This window comes from Homo sapiens, chromosome 18 (assembly GCF_000001405.40).
Source record: "Homo sapiens chromosome 18, GRCh38.p14 Primary Assembly".
Lineage (NCBI taxonomy): Eukaryota > Metazoa > Chordata > Mammalia > Primates > Hominidae > Homo > Homo sapiens.
The window spans coordinates 23,474,214-23,500,463 of NC_000018.10; the positions used below are offsets into that span (position 1 = coordinate 23,474,214).

At 42.6% G+C, this 26,250-nt stretch overlaps 1 protein-coding gene across 6 annotated transcripts in view, besides 5 other annotated features; it reads left to right on the forward strand.

The window, feature by feature from the left end:
• The window catches only part of RIOK3 (RIO kinase 3), a 29,854-nt gene extending 20,927 nt beyond the window's left edge, over positions 1-8,927 (forward strand). For 4 of the 6 annotated variants that reach the window (NM_003831.5, NM_001348193.2, XM_011526243.2 and 1 more), the window contains 5 exons: positions 735-894; positions 2,793-2,873; positions 2,966-3,055; positions 5,104-5,211; positions 6,959-8,927. In NM_003831.5, the coding sequence (NP_003822.2) occupies positions 735-894; positions 2,793-2,873; positions 2,966-3,055; positions 5,104-5,211; positions 6,959-7,066 (547 nt within the window). In that variant the 3' untranslated portion in view covers positions 7,067-8,927. Of the gene's footprint in view, positions 1-734; positions 895-2,792; positions 2,874-2,943; positions 3,056-5,103; positions 5,212-6,958 lie in introns of those variants that run through there. The other 2 variants (NR_145477.2, XM_047437912.1) reach the window with 2 other exon arrangements.
• Positions 14,030-14,199: an enhancer, noted in NCBI's record as "active region_13157". NCBI's record gives its function as "activates an Ori minimal core promoter by ATAC-STARR-seq in GM12878 lymphoblastoid cells {active_cell/tissue: GM12878}" and the evidence as "EXISTENCE:reporter gene assay evidence [ECO:0000049][PMID:35858748]".
• Positions 21,079-21,128: an enhancer, noted in NCBI's record as "active region_13158". NCBI's record gives its function as "activates an Ori minimal core promoter by ATAC-STARR-seq in GM12878 lymphoblastoid cells {active_cell/tissue: GM12878}" and the evidence as "EXISTENCE:reporter gene assay evidence [ECO:0000049][PMID:35858748]".
• Positions 24,547-24,616: an enhancer, noted in NCBI's record as "active region_13159". NCBI's record gives its function as "activates an Ori minimal core promoter by ATAC-STARR-seq in GM12878 lymphoblastoid cells {active_cell/tissue: GM12878}" and the evidence as "EXISTENCE:reporter gene assay evidence [ECO:0000049][PMID:35858748]".
• Positions 24,647-24,716: an enhancer, noted in NCBI's record as "active region_13160". NCBI's record gives its function as "activates an Ori minimal core promoter by ATAC-STARR-seq in GM12878 lymphoblastoid cells {active_cell/tissue: GM12878}" and the evidence as "EXISTENCE:reporter gene assay evidence [ECO:0000049][PMID:35858748]".
• Positions 24,987-25,216: an enhancer, noted in NCBI's record as "active region_13161". NCBI's record gives its function as "activates an Ori minimal core promoter by ATAC-STARR-seq in GM12878 lymphoblastoid cells {active_cell/tissue: GM12878}" and the evidence as "EXISTENCE:reporter gene assay evidence [ECO:0000049][PMID:35858748]".

A 26,250-nucleotide genomic window follows, 5' to 3' on the forward strand; every position in this document is an offset into this window, starting at 1 on the left:
CAAAATTCTTCTACTGAGAGTTCCCCACCAAAATAAGCCAGGCATGGTGTGCACGTGTACTCCCAGCTACTTGGGAGGCTGAGATGGGAGGACTGCTTGAACCTAGGAGTTCAAAACCAGCCTGGAAACGTTAGACTCCCAAGACCTTGTCTCAAAAAGAAAAAAAAATGTTTTTTCAATAAATTAATTAATTCCAGGTAGAATCATTTTCTAGAAGGTCTTGCTGTCCTCCAGTCTCTTTTCTGTACTCCTGAAATTCCTGCCTTTCTTAAAATTCTTCAACAGTTTTCCATAGTGGAGCTTGCCTGTCTTTGTAGCCTCAGCCCACATTGCCCTTCCTCCTACTCACAGATCCAGCTATGTTGATTGATATACATTCCCCAAATGGACTGTGCTCTTGAACACCTCCCTGCATTCCCTTGCACTGTCTTTATCTGGCTAATTCCTGTTCCCTACCTCTTCTTCTAATAAGCCATCCTTGGTGCTGTGTGCTCCTGTAGCTCCTACCCATACCTCTGCCAGTGCGTAATTGTAATTGTCTCTTGTCTGTCATTTCCATCAGTCCCTGAGCTCTCTATGGGCAGAGGCTGTGTTTTACTGTCTTTGTATTCCCACATCACCAGGGTAGAACATAGTGCCAGCTCATTGCAGGCCCTGATTAGATATTTATTGAATAAATGACATATTTTCTCTCCTTCTGATCTGTATATTCTGAATCATTTCTTTATGTATAGAATGCAGAGAGCTGGAATTCCTTGTCCAACAGTTGTACTACTGAAGAAACACATTTTAGTTATGTCTTTTATTGGCCATGATCAAGTTCCAGCCCCTAAATTAAAAGAAGTAAAGCTCAATAGTGAAGAAATGAAAGAAGCCTACTATCAAACTCTTCATGTAAGTTGTGCTTTTAAAAGAATTCACACACTACCTTTAAAAAATATTTCCTCTAAACTTTAAAAAAATTTCCTTAAAGAAGCCAGGCATGTTGGCTCACACTTGTAATCTAGAACTTTGGGAGGCTCAGGCAGTAGGATCACTTGAGCCCAGGAGTTTGAGACCAGCCTGGGCAACATGGTGAAACCCTGTCTCTACTAAAAATACAAAAAAATTAGCTGGGCGTGTGCCTGTAATCCCAGCTACTCGGGATGCTGAGGCAGGGGAATTGCTTGAACCAGGGAGGTAGAGGTTGCAGTGAACCAAGATTGCACCACTGCACTCCAGCCTGGGTGACAGAGTAAGACTCTGTCTCAAAAAAAAAAAAAAAAAATTAAAAATTAGCTGGGCACACACCTGTAGTCCCAGCTACTCGGGAGTCTAAGGTGGGAGGATCACTTGCACCCAGGAATTTAAGGCAGCAGTGAGCTATGATTGTGCCACTGCACCCCAGCCTGGGCAAGAAATAGAGCAAGACCCTATGTCTTAAAAAACAAACAAAAAAACCCAAGTTCCTTAGATAGTGCTATTTCAAGGTGCTATAACAAAGACAAGTTGAAGTTTGTGAAAGAATGTTAACACTGAAGAGTTGTTTTTCTATCAATATGTGTGTGTCTTAAATAGTTTTAGAAAACTTACAGACTTAACCAGGGAAGTCGTCATTGTTAGGATTAGTGACACAGTGCATGAAGCTATTTTTCACCAAACTTCATTAAATAAAATTTGCTGTTAGTACATTTAGCAAAGTGCCTCATTAGTTTGTGAGCTTTCATGAATGTTATAGTTTTTTGGGGCTTTTTTTTTTTTTTTTTTTTTTCAAATAAGAGACAGGGTCTCACTATGTTGCCCAGGCTGGTCTCGAACTCCTGGGCTCAAGTGATCCTCTTGCCTCAGCATCCCAAAGTGCTGGGATTACTGGTGTGAGCCACCACACCCAGCCATTGAATGTTACAGCTTTAACAGTGAAGGAAAGGAAGCAGGTCTGGTCTCATCATAAGAGAGTGATGATGAAAATTGAAAACAGTAGGGAGTGCAGGTGTTAAGTTGGAAGGCATGTTGGGAATCTCAAGGAAACTACATGCTTTGAAATAGCAACTGAATTCAATCTGAGGGCCTTCCAGGTTGAGACAATGCTCCTAATACTGCCATTATCCCTCTGTGTTTTAATTGAACACTGGAGAAACTTAATGTGCTACTTTATGCAATCTCCACATGAAGCTGTCATGTAATGCAGCCATTGATCTAGATATGGAAATTTTAATCCAAATTAATTTTTAAAGATATAGCTAGAAAGGTGATCCACCTTTCTCTGCCTCCAAAGGTAAACATTGAAAGGAAAATCAAGTATGTTTTTCTGGCCTCTTTGGGAGGTGGGGTGGCTGGGGAAGAGATTAAATAGTGATGAAACTTTTCTATTTAATTCTATTAAGGCTGGAAAACAAATGCATTAATGTTGATTTCTACTGTAAGACTTTGAGGGGGGCTGGGCGCAGTGCTCACGCCTGTAATCCCAGCACTCTGGGAGGCCGAGGTGGGCAGGTCACGAGGTCAGGAGATTGAGACCATCCTAACTAACATGGTGAAACCCCATCTCTACTAAAAAAAATTACAAAAAATTAGCCAGGAGTGGTGGTGGGTGCCTGTAGTCCGAGCTACTTGGGAGGCTGAGGCAGGAGAATGGTGTGAACCAGGGAGGCGGAGCTTGCAGTGAGCTGAGATCACACCACTGCACTCCAGCCTGGGCGACAGAGTGAGACTCTGTCTCCAAAAAAATAAAAAATAAAAAACTTTCAGGGGTGTCATCATCAATAATACCACTTAATTATTCATTTCCTAATGTGTGCCTTCCCTCTTCACAGTTGATGCGGCAGTTATATCATGAATGTACGCTTGTCCATGCTGACCTCAGTGAGTATAACATGCTGTGGCATGCTGGAAAGGTGAGGAGCACATTTTGTTAACATTCAGATTTAATTACTGTAAGTAAAATTTAAAATGTAAATACATCAGTTCATGTTCTGTATTGAAATAGGTCTGGTTGATCGATGTCAGTCAGTCAGTAGAACCTACCCACCCTCACGGCCTGGAGTTCTTGTTCCGGGACTGCAGGAATGTCTCGCAGGTAGACGTGTAAACCAATATGCCTTTTTTTGTTGGATGTAACAGCTGCAGGTATTTTTCTCACTCCTAAGATAAGTAAGAGGACCATATTCTTAGAAATTGAAGGAAGGGATACGGGCTGCTTTCAGGACAAGGATATAAAGATCAATTTGTCATATTTCATTTTGCAAGAATTTGATTCCATGTCTTACAGTTGGGTAAAATGTTCAAGGGGTGCCAGGTATGGTGGCTCACGCCTGTAATCCCAGCACTTTGGGAGGGTGAGGTGGGTGGATCATTTGATGTCAGAGGTTCAAGACCAGCCTGGCCAACATGGTGAAACCCCATCTCTACTAAAAATGCAAAATTAGCCGGGCATGGTGGCAGGCGCCTGTAATCCCAGCTACTTGGGAGGCTGAGGCAGGAGACTCACTTGAACCTGGGAGGCAGAGGCTGCAGTGAGCCAAGAACGTGCTACTGCACTCCACCCAGCCTGGGCAACAGAGTGAGGCTCCGTCTCAAAAAAAAAAAAAAAAAAATATGCCAGGTGCAGTGGTTCATGCCTGTAATCCCAGCACTTTGGGAGGCCAAGGTGGGTGGATCACCTGAGGTCAGGAGTTCAAGACCAGCCCGGCCAACATGGTGAAACGCTGTCTGTACGAAAAATACAAAAAAATTAGTTGGGTGCGGTAGCGTGTGCCTGTAATCCCAGCTAGTTGGGAGGCTGAGGAAGGAGAATCACTTGAGCCTGGGAATCGGAGGTTGCAGTGAGCCAAGGTTGCGCCATTGCACTCCAGCCTGGGTGACAGAGCAAGACTCCTTCTCCAAAAAAAAAAAAAAAAATGTTAAAGGGAATAAGTGAGTGTTTTGGCTCCTTGTATATAAGCAGTCGAGTAGACATTTAATGTGTGCATAGTGCTTAAACAGAAGCTGGTGTGCCTGTATGCTTGCTGCCATTATTACCATTAAAAGAGGGACAGTCTCTATTGTGGGACAGTGTCTGATCACTGTCACTGTGAAGCATGGTAAGAAGATTAGGTGGCTGGGCATGGTGATTCACGCTTACAATCTCACACTTTGGGAAGCCAGGGAGGGAGGATTGCTTGAGCCCAGGAGTTTGAGACCAGCCTGGGCAACATAGTGAGACTCCTATCTCTACAAAAAAATTTAAAAAGTAGCTGGGTGTGGTGGAACATGTCTGTAGTCCTAGCTGCTTTAACTGGGAGGCTGTTTTACTAGGGAGGCTGAGGCAGGAGGATTGTTTGAGTCCAGAAGTTCAAGATTATAGCGAGCTGTGATTGTGCCACTGCACTCCAGCCTGGATGACAGTGCTAGGCCCTGTCTCTTAAAAAAACAAAACATATATATATATATATATATATATATATATATATATATATATATATATATATGGTAAAATTTAGTAAGCACAGGGTTGGGTCACACTTGTTTGGCATTTCTAAGGGAAATGAATTGTTGGCAGTAGATTCAGATAGCAATGATCTTTCTAAAGGATAGAGTAACTTCATATTGGAAATAACCTCTGAGCCTGCTTGAAATTTTTAATTTCTGGGGTTTAGTGAAAGTATTTCCTTTACATATTCAAAGCAATGCCAAGTGGTTTTATTTATAGCACTCATTTTTATAGCTATAGAAGGTGCAGTGGTATGAGCTAAATCCAGAAGGCAGGATGGATGTGTGAGAGGATGAAAAGCAACTAGAACCTGAGTATAGTCCAGCTTGGAAGCAGGAAAATCGATGGTTGAGAAATGAGGCAAGGAATGTAGTGGCTCAAGAGATCCTCCCTCCTTGGCCTCCCAAAGTGTTGGGATAACAAGGATAACAGGAGTGAGCCGCCATGCCTGGCTGAGCCAGTAATTTTTACTCTCTTAAAAACTAGGTTATTCCTAATGATTCTGCCTTTGAGTTGAAATTACTGTGTGTGTGTGTGTGTGCGTGTGCACACGTGCATGCATCCAAGTCTTTTTATAAATGTGCTGCTCCCTGTTTTTAGTTTATAAGAGAACATTGCTAATACTTCTTACTGACTTTCTTGTATTTCCTTACTAGTTTTTCCAGAAAGGAGGAGTCAAGGAAGCCCTTAGTGAACGAGAACTCTTCAATGCTGTTTCAGGCTTAAACATCACAGCAGATAATGAAGCTGATTTTTTAGCTGAGGTATGTGATAAACAGCTGTTTTTCACCTTGCTGGTCATGCAGAACTGCATAGAGGAGATAACTGAAACCCAGAGCTAGTTTTATCCTCCCTTTCCCCCAAAACAAAATTAATTTGAGATTTTTCTTTTCTTAAGATGTTTTTGGTTTTTTCTTTTTTTCTTTTTTTTTTTGAGATGGAGTCTTGGTTTGTCACTCAGGCTGGAATGCAGTGGCGTGATCTTGGCTCACTGCAACCTCTGCCTCTTGGGTTCAAGCGATTCTCCTGCCTCAGCCTCCTGAGTAGCTGGGATTACAGGTGTGTGCCACCATGCTTGGCTAATTTTTGTATTTTTGGTAGAGACAGGGTTTCGCCATGTTGGCCAGGCCGGTCTTGAACTCCTGGCCTCAAGGGATCCACCCACCTTGGCCTCCCAAAGTGCTGAGATTACAGGCATGAGCCACTGTGCCCGGCCTGTTTTTTTCTATACTTAAAATTCAGAATACACACACAGCAAAACATTTCTTCACGGAGGGCACCATTTGGTTAAGATGGGCAAACTGTACATTTCCAGTAGACTCCTATTTCCCCTATTTAATGAATGAGGAAGTTGAACACTCTGAGTGATACAAAAAATAGTAACATGTGGTCCCTGCCCTTTACTAAACATAGAAAGTTAGAAGTGCCTATCTTTGGAAATACCCGGTTATTATAATATCAGATCTAGAGAACCATGAAAAAGCTTCCTCCAGAGAAAGTCTCTTAAAATTGAACAAAATCTAAAAGGTGAAATAGCAGTTAATTATTCCCAACATTATACCAAAGCAGAGAGTGATTACTGAGTCTGTTCCAGAAATCCCCAGGATGACTTGAGTTTGGGTAAGCTGGGCCTAGCCTAAGGCTAGAGAGAAATAACAGAAAGATGGTAAATTCATTCTTCCAGCACAATACAGTTGCTCAGTAAGTAAGTGATACTGTTGTTTGATGAATGGTAGAGTTTTCTTTTTCCTGTTTCTGGAATGTTTTATAGAATACATTTCAAAACATAGATGATTCCAATTGCTAGCTGGATAAAGATAGTAAATATTGACCCTTGCAATCAAGTTAAAAAAAATACATGTATGTATGACTATTTGTGTATACTTGGATGCACGCACACACACACACACACACACACACACACACACACATAGTAATTTCAACTCAAAGGCAGAATCATTAGGAATAACCTAGTTTTTAAGCGAGTAAAAATTACTGGCTCAGCCAGGCATGGCAGCTCACTCCTGTTATATCTGTTATCCCAACACTTTGGGAGGCCAAGGAGGGAGGATCTCTTGAGCCCAGGAGTTTGAGACCAGCCTGAGCAACATAAACTCCATTAAAAAATAAAAAATAAAAAAACTGGCTGGACACGGTGGCTCACGCCTGTAATCCTAGCACTCTGAGAGGCCAAGGCGGGTGGAACACCTGAGGTCAGGAGTTCGAGACCAGCCTGGGCAACATAGTGAAACCCGTCTTTACTAAAAATACAAAAATTAGCTGGCGTGGTGGCACATGTGTCCCAGCTACTAGGGAGGCTGAGGCAGGAGAATTGCTTGAACCCAGGAGGCAGAGGTTGCAGTGAGCCGAGATTGCACCACTGCACTCCAGCCTGGACGACAGAGTGAGACTCCATCTCAAAAAAAGAAAAAAATTACTAGCACAATCTAAAATATGGTTTCTGTGAAAAGTAGGATTTTGACAAATGGATTCAATGTATTATTTTTGTAGATAGAAGCTTTGGAGAAAATGAATGAAGATCACGTTCAGAAGAATGGAAGGAAAGCTGCTTCATTTTTGAAAGATGATGGAGACCCACCACTACTATATGATGAATAGCACTAATACCCACTGCTTCAGTGTTAACACAGCAGTGATTGTCAGCTGCCAATAGCAAATGAAGTTATGGGTGACTTGAAATACCAAAACCTGAGGAGTGGGCAATGGTGCTTCTGTGCTTTTCCCCCTTGTAACCCATGTGCCAGATGTGTGGAATTTTTAGCTCAGCATTGAGAGAATAAAATGTCACTACCTCTCATCTTATGAACAGGATAATATAATTCTTTAACAGCTATAGGTTATCTGGCTGAAGTAGACCTAATTTTATGTGACTTGTGGTGTAAAATGTCTTGATGATAATTTTTAAAACTTGGGTAACACTTCCAAATATGGGAGGAAAGGACAGATGTGTTTACAAGGGAGGATTTTACAACATACTTGCTTTATTCACCTCCCTGTTTTGTGTTGCGTCTTTCCTTGAATATTTTATTGGCCCAGAGTTAGCCTTTCTCAATTATGTTTCCAGACTGTGGCCGTGATTCTAAAGGAAAATGTGTGCTCTTTAGTGGGTAGAACAAATGGAAATTTGGTTTCAGAATGGCTGACAGAAATCGACATAAGTCATGTAATTTTTGTTGATATATCATGAAAATGAACAGAATTCTTTTTCCATACTTATATCTAAGAAAAGGCATCATAGGTTTCTGAAAGAGATAACTATATAACAGCTTTTTAACTATCCAGTCAACTTTCAGCTTTTCTACATTTAGGTAAAATGGTTAGGATATAACTCATGGTGTGGCTAATCTACATTTATCAATAAAATGTAAATTATCTGAAAGGACAGAATATAAGATTTAACCATGTTTGACGTATTTTAATTTAGTTAATGAAGCAAAATTCAGTTTATATTTCACTAGAACTGTGTACTTGATTGATTTTCAGAGAAATATCACAAATTAGAAATATTAAATCTAAGGATGAAAGGTATATATAAAACAATTTGGGGGCCAGGCACGATGGCTCAAACCTGTAATCCCAGCACTTTGGGAGACCAAGGCGGGTGGATCACTTGAGGTCAGGAGTTCAAGACCAGCCTGGGCAACATGGCGAAACCCTGTCTCTACTAAAAATACAAAAATTAGCCGGGTGTGGTGGCACTTCTCTGTAATCTCAGCTTCTCAGGAGGCTGAGACAGGAGAATCGCTTGAACCCGGGAGGCAGAGGTTGCAGTGAGCTGAGATCATGCCACTGCACTCCGGCCTAGGTGACAGAGGGAAACTCCATCTCCAGGAAAAAAAAAAAAAAACCCAATTTGGATACCAAATTAATCAACTAATTTGAGCTATCTGGCCTTACTCTTAGTAGTTTTTAGTACGTGCTGGACACCACTTTTAAAAAGCAATCACTGTGCTAGAAAAGTATATTGGCTTTGTTAGGATTAAAGTTCATTAACTTCAATGTAATCATGCCTCCTATTACTGAAGTCAGATTGGAACCACTAAAGATCCAAACTTTCTGTCTGGTAATAGAAAGTAAAAATCTAGACATCATTTACATTTGAGAAAGCTGTTTTTAACATTATTTTAAAATGCCAAATATGTTCTTTCTAGAAAAATATTTATTTTTGTTTTTGTTGGATAGCTTTTAATTACATTTCAGAGAGGTGTAATTTTGGGTAGATGCTCATTACATTTTTGAAAGGTTTATGATTCCAAAATAAAGATTTATATGACTGGTGATACTGGCTTTACAGAAATTTCAGAGAACTAATTTTTAAAATCTTTAGCATTTAAAACTTTTTTTGTTTTGTTTTCTGACATATTCTGACAAAGAGCAGCAAACCACTGCTGTGTGGCATTCTTGGAGTGTGCTGTGAATGTGCTTTTTAAGAAATTAAAAAGAGATCATTTTAAAATTGGTTCTTTGTGTGGTATCTTCCTGTTCCTTATATTAACTTATGTCCTGGTACCAAGTTGCTGTTTCTGTATAAAGTTAAGCAATGCTATTTTAAGTAGATTATTCCCCCTCAACTTCTCATTGTTAGATTTCAATCGCAAATGGCCTACTTCACATTACAAATAGGTTCCCCCCCTCACACCTTGTAGATTAGAGAGTAGATTTTTTTCCCATAGTAGAAAAAGAAAGTGAAAAATACTGGTTTGCTAAGTAAATAAAAAATCAAATACTGGCTGGGCGTGGTGGCTCACACCTGTAATCCCAATACGTTGGGATGCTGAGGCAGGATGATCACTTGAGCCTAGGAGTTTGAGATCTGCCTGAGCAGCATAGCAGACCTCATCTCTACAAAACATTAGGTGAGTGTGGTGGCATGCATCTCTGGTCCCAGCTACTTGGGAGGCTGAGGCAGGAGGATTCTTAGAGCTCAGGAGATCAAGCCTGCAGTGAGCTATGGTCACACGACTACACTCCAGCCTGGGTGATAGATAAAGACTTGGTCTCAAATAAATTAATAAAATGAAAATATATAAAATACGGAAATAGGGATATTTTGTCTCACATTAAGTTATCAAAATAAGGATGACTAGATAACTTTTATTTCAACAAGATAATTACCAGTTTTCTTTTCATAAAAATTAGTTTTTCTTGCTTACAAAAGTAAGTCATTTATTTGAATTTAAATATTGTAGGAATTCAGAAATGTTCAAGTAAAAGTCCCTCGGCCAGGCGCAGTGGCTCAGGCCTGTAATCCCAGCACTTTGGGAAGCCGAGGTGGGCAGGTCACCTGAGGTCAGGAGTTTGAGACCAGTCTGGCCAACATGGTGAATTCCTGTCTCTACTAAAAATACAAAAATTAGCCGGGTGTGGTGGCACATGCCTGTAATCCCAGCTACTTGGGAGGCTAAGGCAGGAGAATCACTTGAACCCAGGAGGCAGAGGAGCTGAGATGGTGCCACTGCACTCCAGCCTGGGCAACAGAGCAAGACTCTGTCTCAGAAAAAAAAGTAAAAGTCCTTCATATTCCAAAGACCATTGTTTATAGTGTGGCATACATCCCTGCAATTTTTTTCCCCTCAGCATATGGTATTTCCTTTTTTAAAAAACCTTTGAACAAAAAGCAGGATGAAGCGAGGCAGCTGATGGGGAAATGTTGAGCACGGGAGACTCTAAGGAAGATGAAGACAATAGGCCCTAAGATGTGTTAGGAGTACATTTCTTACTGCTCATTTGGGCTCCGGGCATCAGAAGAGATTGTTTTCTGCACCTTTTGAAATTCCAAGCTCTATAGGAGCAGAGAAAAGCTCATCTGATTATATTTTCAAACCTTGATCCTTAGGTTTTTGAAGACAATATTTTTCTATTGGATTTTTGTCAGGATTACATAAAAATAAGTTATCAAAGTGTGTTTTATACTTGGAGACATCAGTTTACTAATTTGAAAGCCTCTTGTTTTTATTCTTTTCCGATTTGTTTCCAGTGTAAAAATAATACAAGGTTGCATTTGGAACAGCATTACTTTTACCATCCTAAGCTTTCCAACTTTCTCCCAGACTTGGCTAGCTTTTTGAGGAGTTAAGATCAAATTCGGTAGATAAGAAAGTGGCAGATGGAGGGGTGGGGAAGGTGGGGTATTCATTACAGAATACATGAGTGAGCTACTACAGATAGCTCTATAAACTTGAGGGAAAAAAATCTGCCACAGGTCTCGGCAGCTTGGGTGGTGGGAGGAGCGGCAGCAGCTGGTGAGCCCAGCTTCCAGAAGGCTCTGGTTTCGCCATTGCCCGTAGGCACCCGGCAGGCCCCCTCCCCACCACCAACATGCCCAGGAGGAAGGTCAGCTCAGTCAAGAGGGCTGTGAAGGAAAAGCCCAGGAGGAGATGGGCACAGTTGTCCCCTAACCCTGCTCCTGCAAAAGTAGAAACGAAGCCAAAAAAGAAGGCAGCAGGAAAGGACAAACCTTCAGACCTAAAAGTGCACACAAAAGGGAAAGGGGGAGCAAAGGGAAAACAGGCTGAAGCTTGAGTCCCTGCCCACCTCCATTCCTATCTTGTCTAGCATGTTTAATTGGCAATAAGTTTTTTTGACTCTAAGTCTCTTGGCCATAGGGGTCCCACTAGGGGACATGAAGGACCCAGGGCCTGTAGCATGCCACCCCAGCATCAATATGGGCCAGAATGAAAGCTTGGCCATCAACACTGCCTCTGGGATGCGTTGACAAAAAAAGAGAAAATATAAACTAAAAAAAAAAAAAAAAAAAAAAAATTAGAAGCCCCCAACAGAATGGATCTCTCTCTTGGCCAAAGGGAATCCAAACAACAACCGAAACAGCCTGAAAACCTAGTTCAGGTCATGACAGGAAGCTGGGAGTCAGTCACGCCTCGCCATACCTTCCCCCACTTTGGAATTCAGGCACAGCTGACCAAGCAAAAGGGCTTCACACCTTTGGAAAGGAAAACCTTTTGGCCGATTCCAAAGGGAATGCGTTAAGGCTGCTCTACTTTCTGTTACCTGGTTTTACCACTTTTAGGCCCATTAATGGTGATCTTATTGTTAGTATTTGGCCCATTGGGCCGAGCATGATGGCTCACACCTGTAATCCCAGCACTTTGGGAGGCTGAGGCGGGCAGATCATGAGGTCAAGAGATTGGGACCATCCTGGCCAATATGGTGAAACCCTGTCTCTACTAAAAATACAAAAATTGGCTGGGCATGGTGGCACGCGCCTGTAGTCCCAGGTACTCAGGAGGCTGAGGCAGGAGAATTGCTTGAACCTGGGAGGCGGAGGTTGCAGTGAGCCGAGATCACACCACTGCACTCCAGCCTGGTGACAGAGTGAGACTCTGTCTCAAAAAATAAATAAAATAATAATAATAAAAATATTTGGCCCATGCGTATTCAACTTCCTTATAAAGTTTATATCTTCTAGGTTACAGCAACTCCATGTAAAGATGATGGTGATGCAAGGATTTCAGCCAATTCCTGTCTCAGCATGGGACTCTCCTGCTAATGCAGCCTGGGATCCTTAGACCAGCAGCCAGAGATTTCCAATCCTTTGGTAGGCAGGGCCAGCGCCCTTAAATCAGCAAGAAGACGACACAGATGACTGACCTCCTCCCTCATCAACCCTTAAGAATAAGGGATGGAAATCTCTGAAGGGGGAATGAGATAGGAAGATCACTGGGTGCTCGCAAGAGGATGGAAGAATCCACACAAGAGCTTAAACAAGAGCTAGGCAAAGAAACTGTGGGATAACAGAAAACCCAAAATCAGGAGGAGAAGGCTGGGTTTGGTGGCTCATGACTGTAATCCCAGCACTGTGGGAGGCTGAGGAGGGCAGATCACCTGAGGTCAGGAGTTCGAGACCAGCCTGTGCAATATGGTGAAACCCCTTCTCTACCAAAAATACAAAAAAAAAAAAAAAAAAATAGCTGGGCATGGTGGCATACGCCTATAGTCCAGCTACTCGGGAGGATCACCTGAGCCCAGGAGACAAAGGTTGCAGTGAGCCGAGATCACGCCACTGCACTCCAGCCTTGGCAACAGAGACAGGGTGACATGTCCATGACTCTTCAGTGCAAACCCAAATCAGGGAGAAAGGGGGTGGTACCTGGGGGTGTGGGACAGTGGGGGGTCCCTGAAATCCCCCCTCTTCCAAAATACCTAATGATTATTTCACCCCCTAATTAAAGAAACACCCATAAAATTAGAAACCCAAACTCCCTCTGTGTGACTCATTCTCACAAACATGCCTGCACTTCTCTCTTCAGTGCATACTATCACTTTGCAATAAAAGCTTTTTGCCTTTCCCTTCATTCTGACTTGTCCCTGAATTCTTTCTCGAAAAGGTGTCAAGAACCTGGAAACCAACTGGGGCGGGGGTCTTACCAGCATCTGCAGACCCTCCTGAAACTTCTGGAAACCATAGGGGGAAAAAAGCAGAAATCACCCACAGTACAAGACAATCACCATATACATTACTCCTGACACTTGTTATATACATATGTACATGCAAATGCAAATGTAGAAAGAAACATGCATTCAGGCCCGGCACGGTGGCTCACGCCTGTAATACCAGCACTTTGGGAGGCCGAGGCGTGTGGATCACCTGAGGTCAAAAGTTCAAGCCCAGCCTGGCCAACATGGCAAAACCCCATCTCTACTAAAAATACAAAAATTAGCTGGGCATGGTGGCAGGCACCTGTAATCCCAGCTACTTGGGAGGCTGAGGCAGGAGAATCACTTGAACCCGGGGGGTGGAGGTTGCAGTGAGCCGAGATCGCACCACTGCACTCCAGTCTGGACCACAGAGGGAAATTCCGTCTCAAAAAAAAAAAAAAGAAAGAAAAAGAAAGAAAGAAAGAAAGAAAGAAAGAAAGAAAGAAAGAAAGAAAGAAAGAAAGAAAGAAAAGAGAGAAAGAAAGATGCATTCAAACATAAAACACTTCTGAAATGAAAAAGCAGGTTCCAAAACAGTGATACGTAGTCAAGATTTGCCAGCAAATACATACTTTAGAAATAGCTCTTTGTAAATATTATTCATCCTCATTTTAAAACAAAAAGGACTTTAGAAAGTTTAAAGAACAAAGTAAAAGCCACCTGAAAACATGCCAAGTAGTGAGAGCCACTATACAAATTTGGCTACATATGCCTTCAGACATCTGTCATAGAGTCTAACAAAGACTATAAAACAAAAATTAAAGCAAACAAAACTCAGCAAAACAGAAAAGCGGAACTTAAAATAAAAATAAGAATAAAAATAAACAGAAAAGCCTATGTGTTGTTTTAGGTTTTAGAAACTGTCAGACGCACATTTTAAGCTGCTGTAAAAGGAAAACAAGCATGTCAAGTGCTTATCTTAAACACCAGGAGTTATATTGAGCTTTTTTGGTGGCTCCGGAAACACTGGCTCATAGTAAACTAAGAAAGGAGAAGAAAAACAAACTAATGAACTAAGCGCTGATTCAGTAACCCCAGCAGTGGGCAGGGCAGCCAGGTATCCATCAAGGGTAGAGCTGGCTCGAGGCTGCACTTAAGGTTTCCCCCTATTTTAGTTGACCTGTTCCTAGGTCAGAGTCCCCTCCAGGGCCCCAGGACTGCCTCTAGCAGGCTCTGTACCCCAGATTTTACTGTCCCAGTCCTGAATCTGCCTTAAAAAAAGTTTTAACAGCTTTTCAGCTTCTTAGCTTTCCTTTTCTGCTCAGTGTCTCAACCTCTCAGTCACCGCTTTCAAAGCAGCAAGTTCATTGTGGAACAAAGCGGCAGCAAATGTCAGCTTCCGGCGGGCTGAAGTGGCTCATGCCTGTAATCCCAGCACTGTGAGAGGCCGAAGCGGGTGGATCACGAGGTCAGGAGTTCAAGACCAGCCTGGCCAACATGGTGAAACGCCGTCTCTACTAAAGATACAAAAAATTAGCCAGGTGTGGTGGCAGGCGCCTGTAATCCCAGCTACTTGGGAGGCTGAGGCAGGAGAATCACTTGAATCCAGGAGGCGGTGGTTGCAGTGAGTCAAGATGGCACCATTGTACTCCAGTCTGGGCGACAGGGCAAGACTCCATCTCAAAAAAAAAAAAGTGAGCCTCCCTTCTCCAGGCTTCCCTCTCTACAGAATCACGGCTTCTCAGGTTCTAGCTGCCTTGTTCTCCAATGTCTTCACAAAAGGTAAAAGAACTGCCTTCACAATTAATGAAAACGAAGATCTTAATTAATTTGCTAATTGTTTTCTCATATTCTAATGTTTTCGGGTTCCACCTGTGCCAAAACTTGAGGATTCATGAGAAAATCTTTTATTTTGATTTTAATATTTTATTTTGATTTAGTTTATTTATTTATTATTTTTTGAGACGGAGTCTCACTCTGTCGCCCAGACTGGAGTGCAGTGGCGCAATCTTGGCTCACTGCAAGCTCCGCCTCCCGGGTTCAAGAGATTCTCCTGCCTCAGCCTCCCGAGTAGCTGGGATTACAGGCGCACGCCCCCACACCCGGCTAATTTTTGTATCTTTAGTAGAGACGGGGTTTTACCATGTTGGCCAGGATGGTCTCGATCTCTTGACCACAGGCGATCTGCCCGTTTCGGCCTCTCAAAGTGCTGGGATTACAGGCATGAGCCACCGTGCCTGGCCTTGACTTAGTTTATTAACAGTTCATATTCAGGTTTGAATTTCACAACTAACTAGTGGTCTCATGTGTTTGTCTGTGAACAGGTGTCAGTTTGGCTGAAAATAATCACGTGAGGGGTTTGCTCCCAAGCAAGGATGCCAGAATAGGGCCTAGGAATCTGAATTCTAAGAAATAGCACTGTTTTTTTCTTTCTTTTTTTTTTTTTTTGAGATGGAGTCTTGCTCTGTCACCCAGGCTGGAGTGCAATGGCTTGATCTCGGCTCACTGCAATTTCTGCCTCCTGAGTTCAAGTGATTCTCCTGCCCCAGCTTCCTGAGTAGCTGGGATTACAGGTGTGGGCCACTACACCAGGCTAATTTTTATATTTTTAGTAGAGATGGGGTTTCATATGTTGAACAGGCTGGTCTCAAACTCCTGACCTCAAGTGATCCACCCATCTTGGCTTCCCAAAGTGCTGGGTGTGAGCCACCGCACCCGGCCAGAAATAACATTTCTGATGCTCACTAAAGTCTGAGGGAGAAAAAAAAGGCATGACTAACCCTGAAATGCAATGAAAAAGAAAAAAAAAAAAGGCTGGGCGCAATGGCTCATGCCTGTAATCCCAGCACTCTGGAAGGCCGAGGCAGATGGATCACAAGGTCAGGAGATCAAGACCATCCTGGCTAACACGGTGAAACCCTGTCTCTACTAAAAATACAAAAAATTAGCTGGGCTTGGTGGCAGGCGCCTGTAGTCCCAGCTACTCTAGAGGCTGAGGCAGCAGAATGGCGTGAACCCGGGAGGTGGAGCTTGCAGTAAGCCAAGATTGCACCACTGCACTCCAGCCTGGGCGACAGAATGAGACTCCGTCTCAAAAAAAAAAAAAAAAAAAAAAAAAGCCCATTGCTTGCTTGTTGTTAACCCAATATTCATTTCTACCTTCTTCCCTACTAAAACCTCCAGTTTCTACAGGGCATGATATATTCACCTACAAACTTCATTTCCCAAACTCCCTTGCAGCTAGGGTGGCTACTAGACGCAATTTTGGCCAATAAGATGAAACAGAAGTCACTGGGTGAGAGCCTCTTAGAAAGTTCTTTTGCCCTTCACTCTTCCCCTTCTTCCTGCCTGGGGACTGTGGGCCCCGTCTGAGAAGCAAGCATCCATTTTGCAATTATGATGTGATGAGCATGAGTGGAAGTCACACTATAGGGATAGATGGGTAAGGGGAGCGAAAGGAGTGTGAATCCCTGAGGCATCATAGAACCTCAGTAACAGGCCTAGATGGATTGCCTGCAGACTTTTTATTCCTAGAGAAAAAATAAAGTCCTGTTTGGTTGTTACTGTGAGTTGGTATTTCTTGCAGTTACTTTCAGTGAATGTAATTCTAGCTGATACAATAGCTGGACAATCAAGACATGGAATAAGATGGAACCATAAAAGACCCAGAATAGCCAATGCTAGCCTAAGCAAAAAAAAAAAAACAAAACAAAACTGGGGGAATCACATTATCTGACTTCAAATTATACCACAGAGCTATAGTAACCAAAACAGCATGGTACTGGCATAAATACAGACACACAGACCAATGGAACAGAATAAGAACCCAGAAACAAATCCACACACCTCCTTTGACCTTTGTCAAAAATGAGTTCACACCAGTGAACTCATTACTAGTGAACTCATTTTTGACAAATGTGCCAAAAACATACACTGTGGAAAGGACAATCTCTTCAATAAATGGTGCTGGGAAAACTGGATATCCCTATGCAGAAGAATGAAACTATACCCCTATCTCTCACCAAATACAAAAATCAAATCAAAATGGACTAAAGACTTAAATCCAAGACCTCAAACTGTGAAACTACCACAAGAAAACATTGGGGAAAATCTCCAGGACATTAGTCTGGGTAAAAATTTCTTGAGTAATTCTCCAAAGGTAACCAAAGCAAAAATGGACAAATGGGATCACATCAAGTTAAAAAGCTTCTGCACAGCAAAGGAGACAATCAACAAAGTGAAGAGACAACCCACAGAATGCGAGAAAATACTACCCATCTGACAAGGGATTAATAACCAGAATATATAAGAAGCTCAAACAACTTCAATAGAAAAAAATCTAGTAATCTGATTTAAAAAATGGGCAAAACATTTGAACAGATATTTCTCAAAAGAAGACATACAAATAGCAAACTGGCATATGAAAACATGCTAAACATCACTGATTATTAGAGAGATGTAAATCAAAATGACAATGAGATATCATCTCACCCCAGTTAAAATGGCTTATATCCAAAAGACAGGCAATAACAAATGCTGGCAAGGAGATGGAGAAAAGGGAACTCTTTATTTTATTTATTTATTTATTTATTTATTTATTTATTTATTTATTTGAGACAGAGTTTTGCTTTTGTTGCCCAGGCTGGAGTACAATGGCATGATCTTAGCTCACTGCAACCTCCACCTCCTGGGTTCAAGTGATTCTCCTGCCTCAGCCTCCTGAGTAGCTGGGATTACAGGCATGTGCCACCATGCCCGGCTAATATTGTATTTTTAGTAGAGACGGGGTTTCTCCATGTTGGTCAGGCTAGCCTTGAACTCCCAACCTCAGGTGAGCTGCCTGCCTCAGCCTCCCAAAGTGCTGGGATTACAGGCATGAGCCACCACTCCCAGCTGAAAAGGGAACGCTTGTATGCTGTTGGTATGAATGTAAATTAGTACAACCATTATGGAGAACAGTTTGAAGATTCCTCAAAAAAACTAAAAAAAGAGGGCTATACCTGTAATCCCAGCACTTTGGGAGACTGACGTGGGAAGATTGCTTGAGCCCAGGAGTTCGAGACCAGCCTGGGCAACATAGTGAGACCCCCATCTCTCTCTCTTTTTTTTTTTTTTTTTTTAAGTAAATACAGGTGTGGTGGCTCCCACCTGTAATCCCAGCACGTTGGGAAGCCAAGGCAGGCAGATCACTTGAGGTCAGGGGTTTGAGACCAACCTGGCCAACATGGTGAAACCCTGTCTCTACTAAAAATACAAAACAAAAAAATTAACTGCGTATGGTGGCACGTGCCTATAATCCCAGCTACTTGGGAGGCAGAGGCAGGAGAATCACTTGAACCCAGGAGGTGGAGATTGCAGTGAGCCAAGATTGCACCACTGCACTCCAGCCTGGGTGACAGAGTGAGAATCTGTCTAAAAAAAAAAAAAAAAAAGATAGAAAGAAAGAAAAATAGCTATAAGAGTATAATTGGATTGTTTGCAACACAAAGGATAAGTGCTTCAGGGGATGGATACCTCATTGTCCATGATGTGGTTATTATGCATTGCATGCCTGTATCAAAACATCTCTTATACCCTACAAATATATACACCTGTGTACCCACAAAAAGTAAAAATTAAAGAAAACATGAAATAAGAAATGAGAGGGCTCTGTGTAGAATGTCTGCAAAATGATGTGGAGTATACTATACAAACTATATAATTAACAAAAACCTGGAAGAGGCTGGACACAGTGGCTCATGCCTGTAATCCTAGCACTTTGGGAGGCCAAGGCAGGCAGATCACTTGAGGTCAGGAGTTTGAGACCAGCCTGGCCAACATGGTGAAACCCCATCTCTACTAAAAAATACAAAAATTAGCCAGGCGTGGTGGTGCATGCCTGTAATCCCAACTACTCCGGAGGGTGAGGCACAAGAATCACTTGAACCCAGGAGGTAGAAGTTGCAGTGAGCCAAGATCATGCCACTGCTCTCCAGCCTGGGTGACAGAGCAAGACTCCATCTCAGAAAAAAACAAAACAAAACAAAACAAAAACCTGGAAGAGCTTAAAGATACAATAAAAGCATAGTCCCTTTTATCAACAACCACAAAAAATGAAAGGCAATTAAAAACTCCAGGAAAAACAAGCCAAAAACGTATCTTAGTTTGTTTTCTGTTGCTAACAGAATACCATATCCTGGGTAATTTATAAAGAAAAGAAATTTATTCCTTACAGTTCTGAAATCTGGGAAGTCCAAGAGCATGGTACTGGCATCTTGTGAGGGCCTTCTTGCTGCATCTTAACATGGTAGAGGGTATCATGTGGTGGGACAGCAAGAGTGTGTGTGTCAGTGTGTCAGTTCAGGTCTTTCCTCCTTTTCTTTTTTCTTTTTATTTCTTTCTTTTTTTCTTTTCTTTTTCTTTTTTTTTTTTGAGACAGAGTATCGCTCTGTTGCCCAGGCTGGAATACAGTGGCACAATCTTGGCTCACTGCAACCTCCGCCTCCTGGGTTCAAGTGATTCTCCTGCCTCAGCCTCCCGAGTAGCTGGGACTACAGGCGTGTACCACCATGTCCAGCTAATTTATTTGTATTTTTAGTAGAGACGGGTTTTCACCATGTTGGCCAGGCTGGTCTCAAACTCCTGACCTCTGCTGATCTGCCCACCTTGGCCTCCCCAAATACTGGATTACAGGCATTAGCCACCACACTCGGCCTCCTCCTTTTCTTATAAAGCCACCTGGGGTCCCTATCCTGATGACCTCATCTAATCCTAATTACTTCCCAAAGGCCTCCTCCACACCAGGCCTCCTCCTTTTCTTATAAAGCCACCTGGGGGCCCTATCCTGATGACCTCATCTAATCCTAATTACTTCCCAAAGGCCTCACCTCCAAATACCAACAATATATGAATTTGGGGATTAAGTTTCCAACACTAGAAATTTGGAGGGCATGTTCAAACCATACTAAAAGCCAGCTTTTAGTATAAGCAAACCAAAATGTAGTATGATATTTGAGCAAATGGTACAGGATTTTGACCATTCTCTTTCAAATGTTCGAGTTCAGCAATGAAAGATTACATTTCTTTTTCCAAAGACTCAATCATTATATAGTTGTATATATTGTTAAAAATAGTAGTATTTTTGCCTGGGTGCAGTGGCTCATGCCTGTAGTCCCAGCACTTTGGGAGGCTGAGGTGGGCAGATCACCTGAGGTCAGGAGTTCGAGACCAGCATGGCCAACATGGCAAAACCCCGTCTCTACTAAAAATACAAAAATTAGCCGGGCGTGTTGGCAGATGCCTGTAATCCCAGCTACTCAGGAGGCTGAAGCAGGAGAATTGCTTGAACCCAGGAGGCGGAGGTTGCAGTGAGCTGAGATTGTGCCATTGCACTCCAACCTGGGCGACAAGAGTGAAAACTCCATCTCAAAAACAAACAAACAAACAAATAAAAATAATAGTATTTTAAACACTATATCCAAGATCAAGGTACCAGCTAAAAAGAAAAAAAGGAAAAAAAATTTTTTTATTGCTTTTTTTTAAAAAGGTGTGGTCTTGTTATGTTGCCCAGGCTAGTCTTGAGCTCCTGGGCTCAAGTAATTCTCCTGCCTCAGCCTTTCAAGTAGTTGAGACTATAGGTGCATGCCACTGTGCCTGGCTTTAGTTTTCAAATTTTAGAATTAATCGTTACACAAGTCACTGAATTTATACTTATGGAATGTAAATGTCCTAAACCATAACAATGTGTATTAGTTAGTGTTCTCCAGAGAAAGAGAATATATATATTCCAAATATACATATATATATTCCAAATATACATATATATATATATTCCAAAGAAATAGAATATATATATATGTCCACCATGTATACACACATGCTGGACACCCCAGAAAAGCCTGCATTTCAGTGTAGGTCTAAAGGCAGGGAAACAAACTGATGTCTGAATTCAAAGGCTGTCAGGCAGCCAGAATTCTCTTTTTTGCGGGGGAAGGTCAGCCTTTTTGTTCCATTCAGGCCTTTGTTCTATTCAGCTGATTGGATGAGGCCCACTCACATTAGGAAGGGTCATCTGCTTTACTCAGTTCACTGATAAATGATAAATCATCCAAAAACATCCTCACAAACACACCCAGAATAGTGTTTGACCAAACACCTGGGCACACCCTGTGGCCCAGTCAAGTTGACACATGAAATTAGTCATCACACAATGTAATGGCAGGTAGGGAGGAGGGAGGAGAGAAGGGGAGGGCAGTATAAGGATCCACATCTCCCCATTTTATACAGTGGGGAGACACTAGAACTTCCTAGCCCTGATGGATTAAAAAATGTAATTCAATGGATATTATAAAAAGTTATGCAAGTAAATACTAGAAGAATGAAAAATATAACAAAAATTGAGAGGTATGGAGGAAAAGAAAGTGAGAGGCAGATCAATGCACTAAATTCCTCATCTTCTTCTTCTTATTATTATTATTTTTGAGACAGTCTTACTTTGTCACCCAGGCAGGAGTGCAGTGGCACAATGTTGACTCACTGCAATCTCTGTCTCCTGGGTTCAAGCAATTCTCCTGCATCAGCCTCCTGGGTAGCTGGGATTACAGGCGTGCACTACCACACCCAGCTAATTTTTGTATTTTTAGTAGATATGGGGTTTCACCATGTTGGCCAGGCTGGGCTTGAACTCCGGACCTCAGGTGATCCGCCCGCCTCAGCCTCCCAAATTGCTGGGCATACAGGCATGAGCCACTGCGCCTGGCCATTTCTTATAGCAGGTGTGTTAGTCCGTTCTTGTGCTGCTATAAAGATATCCCCGAGGCTAGGTGATTTATAAATAAAAGAGGTTTAATTGGCTAGCAGTTCTGCAGGCTGTACAGGAAGCGTGGTGCCAGTGAAGAGGAGCTGACGTCTCACTTGGCAAGAGTTGGAACGAAAGAGAGAGTGGGGAGGAGGTGCCACAAGCAGATCTCAGGAGCGCTCACTCACTATCGGGAGGACAGCACCCAGGGAATGGCTCTAAACCATTCATGAGAAATTTGCCTCCATGATCCAGTCACCTCCAACCAGGCCCCACCTCCAATATTGGGGATTACAATTCAACATGAGATTTGGAGGGGATAACATCCAAACTATATCCTCAGGAAATAACAGATACTTCTGAAGCTGATAAAACAAGATAAGTATATGAGAGTTATGCTGTGACCATCAGGGCCAAAACCAGAAATTGGTAACAATGGTTTCTTCTGGGTCGTGCCACTGAGTATTGTTGGGGAAGAAGGAGAGATTTTTTTTTTCACTTGCTATTTTTCCATACTATTGAAATTCTTTAACATGCATGCATTTCTTTCATAATTACAATATAGTGTGATTTTATTTTGTAATTTTTGACTCCTTGGAGTTTGATAACTAGCTGGTCTGGGGAGCCATTGAGCTAGACAGTCTCTGGAAATGTTTCGGAGTTTAAAACTCCTGTGACCCCAGCAGAGTCACAGGCAGGGGCGAAGTGCCTACTGGTAGTTCTGTGGGTTTTGATGTAAAAACAAGTCTTTAGATTTTTTTTTTTTTGCTTAAATGTTTGCTTAAATGATCTTCTAAGACAGCTAAATGCAATTAAAAGAACAATGTTTTGAGATTGCTTAATGAGTTTTTTAAAATACAAGTCTTGACTGGGTGCAGTGGCTCATGCCTGTAATCCCAGCACTTTGGGAGGCTGAGGCGGGTGGATCACCTGAGATTGGGAGTTTGAGACCAGCCTGACCAACATGGTGAAACCCCATCTCTACTAAAAATAGAAAATTAGCCAGGCGTGGTGGTGCCTGCCTGTAATCCCAGCTACTCGGGAGGCTGTGGCAGGAGAATCGCTTGAACCAGGGAGGCGGAGGTTGCGGTGAGCCGAGATGGCGCCATTGCTCTCCAGCCTGGGCGACAAGAGCGAAACTCTGTTTCAAAAAAAATAAAAACAAAAACAAAAACAAACCAAGTTTTTATTTCCAATAAAAGTGAATTTAACTTATTTAATTTTATTTACAAATTATTCCCAGGTCTAGCTTTGACTTTAAAAAGTGAATTTTAAATGTTAAACATATGAATTATTCTAATTTGTATTATAAACTTAAATTTTCCTCTGAAAATCAAATCAAAAGCAGGGAAAAGCATGCCAGTAATGAAAAGAAACCAAAACAGGTACAGCTTTGCATCCTTTCTTCAATTTAATGTTTAAAGATGTAACCGCCCAAAGGGTTCACCTTGCCTGCTGCCTAGACAGAACCGATTTGTCAAGACAGTGGAATTGCAATGAAGAAAGAGTAATTTCACTCAGAGCTGGCTGTGAGGGAGACGGGAGTTTTATTATTACTTAAATCAGTTTCCTCAAGCATTTGGGGATCAGAGTTTTTAAAGATAGTTTGGTGCTGGGTGTGGTGGCTCACGCTTGTAATCCCGGCACTTTGGGAGGCTGAGGCAGGCGGATCACCTGAGGTCAGGAGTTCAAGACCAGCCTGGCCAACATGGCGAAACCCCATCTGTACTAAAAATACAAAAAATTAGCTGGGCGTGGTGGCACTTGCCTGTAAACCCAGGTACTCGGGAGATTGAGGCTGGAGACTCACTTGAACCCAGGAGGCGGAGGTTGCAGTGAGCTGAGATTGTGCCACTGCACTCCAGCCTGGGCAACAGAGTGAGACTCCATCACAAACAAACAAACATAATTTGGCAGGTAGGGTCTCAGGAAGCAGAGTGCTGATTGGTCAAGGTTGGAGATGGAATCCTAGGGGGGTCGAACTGAGGTTTTCTTGCTGTTTTCTACTCCTAGATGGGATGGCAGAACTGATTGGCCCAGATTACCGGTCTGGATGGTGTCAGCTGATCCATCCAGTATAGGATCTACAAAATATCTCAAACACTGATCTTAGGTTTTACAATAGTGATGCTATCCCCAAAAGCAATTTGGGGCGGTTCAGACTCTTGGAGCCAGAGGCTGCATGACCCCTAAACCGTAATTTCTAATCTTGTAGCTAACTTGTTAGTCCTGCAAAGGCAGACTGGTCCCCAGGCAAGAAGGGAGTCTTTTCGGGAAAGCGCTATTATTAATTTTGTTTCAGAGTCAAACTATGAACTGAATTCCTTCCCAAATGCCCAGCAATGAACAAGGACAGCTTAAAGGTTAGAAGCAAGATGGAGTCGGTTAGGTCTGATCTCTTTCACTGTTATAATTTCTTCAGTTATAATTTTTGCAAAGGCAGTTGAAACTGTGTCTTTGAAAAGACACAGCAGAAACATCTGTTACATAAACAACAGAAATGAGGAAGAAAGTATCTGACTCAGTAGCAAAGGAAATCCACAGAAAGAATGTTCTGAGAACGGAAGCAATGATCAGACCAGGTAGGGATATGATAGAAAGAAAATTCTCATCTAATTCAAATTCTGGCCAGTCCTTTTGGTGATTTCCATACTAATACTAGGCACTTTAAAATGTGAGTTCTGGTAACACATGGAACCTCAAAGTAGAAATGTCTGTTGTTCATTTTTAAAAGACTATTTGCAGAGTTTTGATGTTTATCAATGAAAAGAGTTTTTTTTTAAAATTTATGAAGAATAGGGAATCCTATATGGGCATGGGGCAAATAATCAAACTGTTTTAATGCAGAAAAAAATGTGCAACAGAAAGAGATAGCTCATGGAGGGATAAAGACTTTATTCTGGACCCTCTAGATTCTGTGGGGCCTGCAGTAGCTTCAAGATGCCCCAGCATGTCCTGCGCCCACACCCCTGTCAAGATCACTGTGGTCAGGGCGTCTTGCCCATGGCCAGTGTATTAGTCTGCTTGGGTTGCCACAACAAAATACCACAGACTGAGGTTGAAAACATTTATTTTCTCACAGTTTTGGAGGCTAGAAGTCCTAGATCAAGGTGCCAGCAGCGTTGCTTCCTCTGAGGCAGCTCTTCTTGGCCTGTAGGTGGCGCCTTCTTGCTGTGTCTTCACATGGGCGGCCCCTCAGTCTGTGTGTCTAGGTCCTAATCTTCTCTTATAAACACACCAGTCATACTGGATTAGGGTCCATCATTTTACCTTAACGGCCTATTTAAAGGCCTTATCTCCAAATACAGATGCATTTTGAAATACTAAGGGTTAGTACCTCAACATCTGAATTCTGGGGGGACACACTTCAACCCATAACATGCAGGCAGACCTCAATGCTGCTTGCAGACCCAAGGCGAACTGCACAACAATCAAGCCTGGCTCTTAGGACAAAAACATCTGCCAGAGTCAACCAAACTGAATTCTCTGGGAAGGACGAGATGCCTGGTGTCATAAAAAGACCATAGTCTTTTTTAAGTGTGATGCATGCGCACACAGGCACGCATACACACACGCGCACACACGCGCACACACTGCACTGCTGCCCTGTCCTTGGCAGACATTCCTGTGGGGTCATGTTCGAAATATGCACTTCTGTGGAGTAGCTTGGGTTTTCTTGGAAGTCTCTTTTTCTAAACTTGTACCTAAGCTGATGGCCTGTGCCTGCTTGGGCATGAGGGGTCGGAGTGGGGATGGGTCAAGACTGACTCCTGTTCACTGTGAAGTAGAGGAAGGCAGTGATAGCCAGACAGGGACGTGTGTTTAGGGAAGTCCTCTGTGTTTTCAGTTCTGTTTTTGTTTTGTTTTTATGATGGGAGAGATGAGCAAATATAAAGGCTGCTTCTAGGAGCAGGAGTGAGGAGAGGTTGCCTATATGAGAGAAACGGGATGGTCAATACTGTAGGTTTTTTTGAGAAGGTGAAATATGGAATTCATTTTTTAAATTTTTTAAATTTTTTTTTTTTTGAGACAGAGTCTCGCTCTGTCACCCAGGCTGGAGTGCAGTGATGTGATCTCTGCTCATTGCAACTTCTGCCTCCTGTTTATATAAACAGGCCAAACCCTGTATGTATGTATGTATTTATTTATTTTTGAGATGGAGTTTCGCTCTTGTTCCACTTGTTGCCCAGGCTGGAGTGCAATGGCACGATCTTGGCTCACTGCAACCTGCAACTCCCGGGTTCAAGCGATTCTCCTGCCTCAGCCTCCCAAGTAGCTGGGATTACCAGCACTCACCACCACAGCCGGCTAATTTTTTTGTATTTTTAGTAGAGACGGGGTTTCACCATGTTGGCCAGGCTGGTCTCGAACTCTTGACCTCAGGTGATCCACCTGCCTCAGCTTCCCAAAGTGCTAGGATTACAGGCATGAGCCACTGCACCCAGCCGAAAGATGGAATTCAAAGAAGTGCTGGTAAGTCACTGTGGTATTTGTGAAAAAATAAAAATAAAGAGGGTTTGGGCTAGGCGCGGTGGCTCATGCCTGTAATCTCAGCACTTTGGGAGGCCAAGGGGGGTGGATCACCTGAGGTTGGGAGTTCGAGACCAGCCTGACCAACATGGAGAAACCC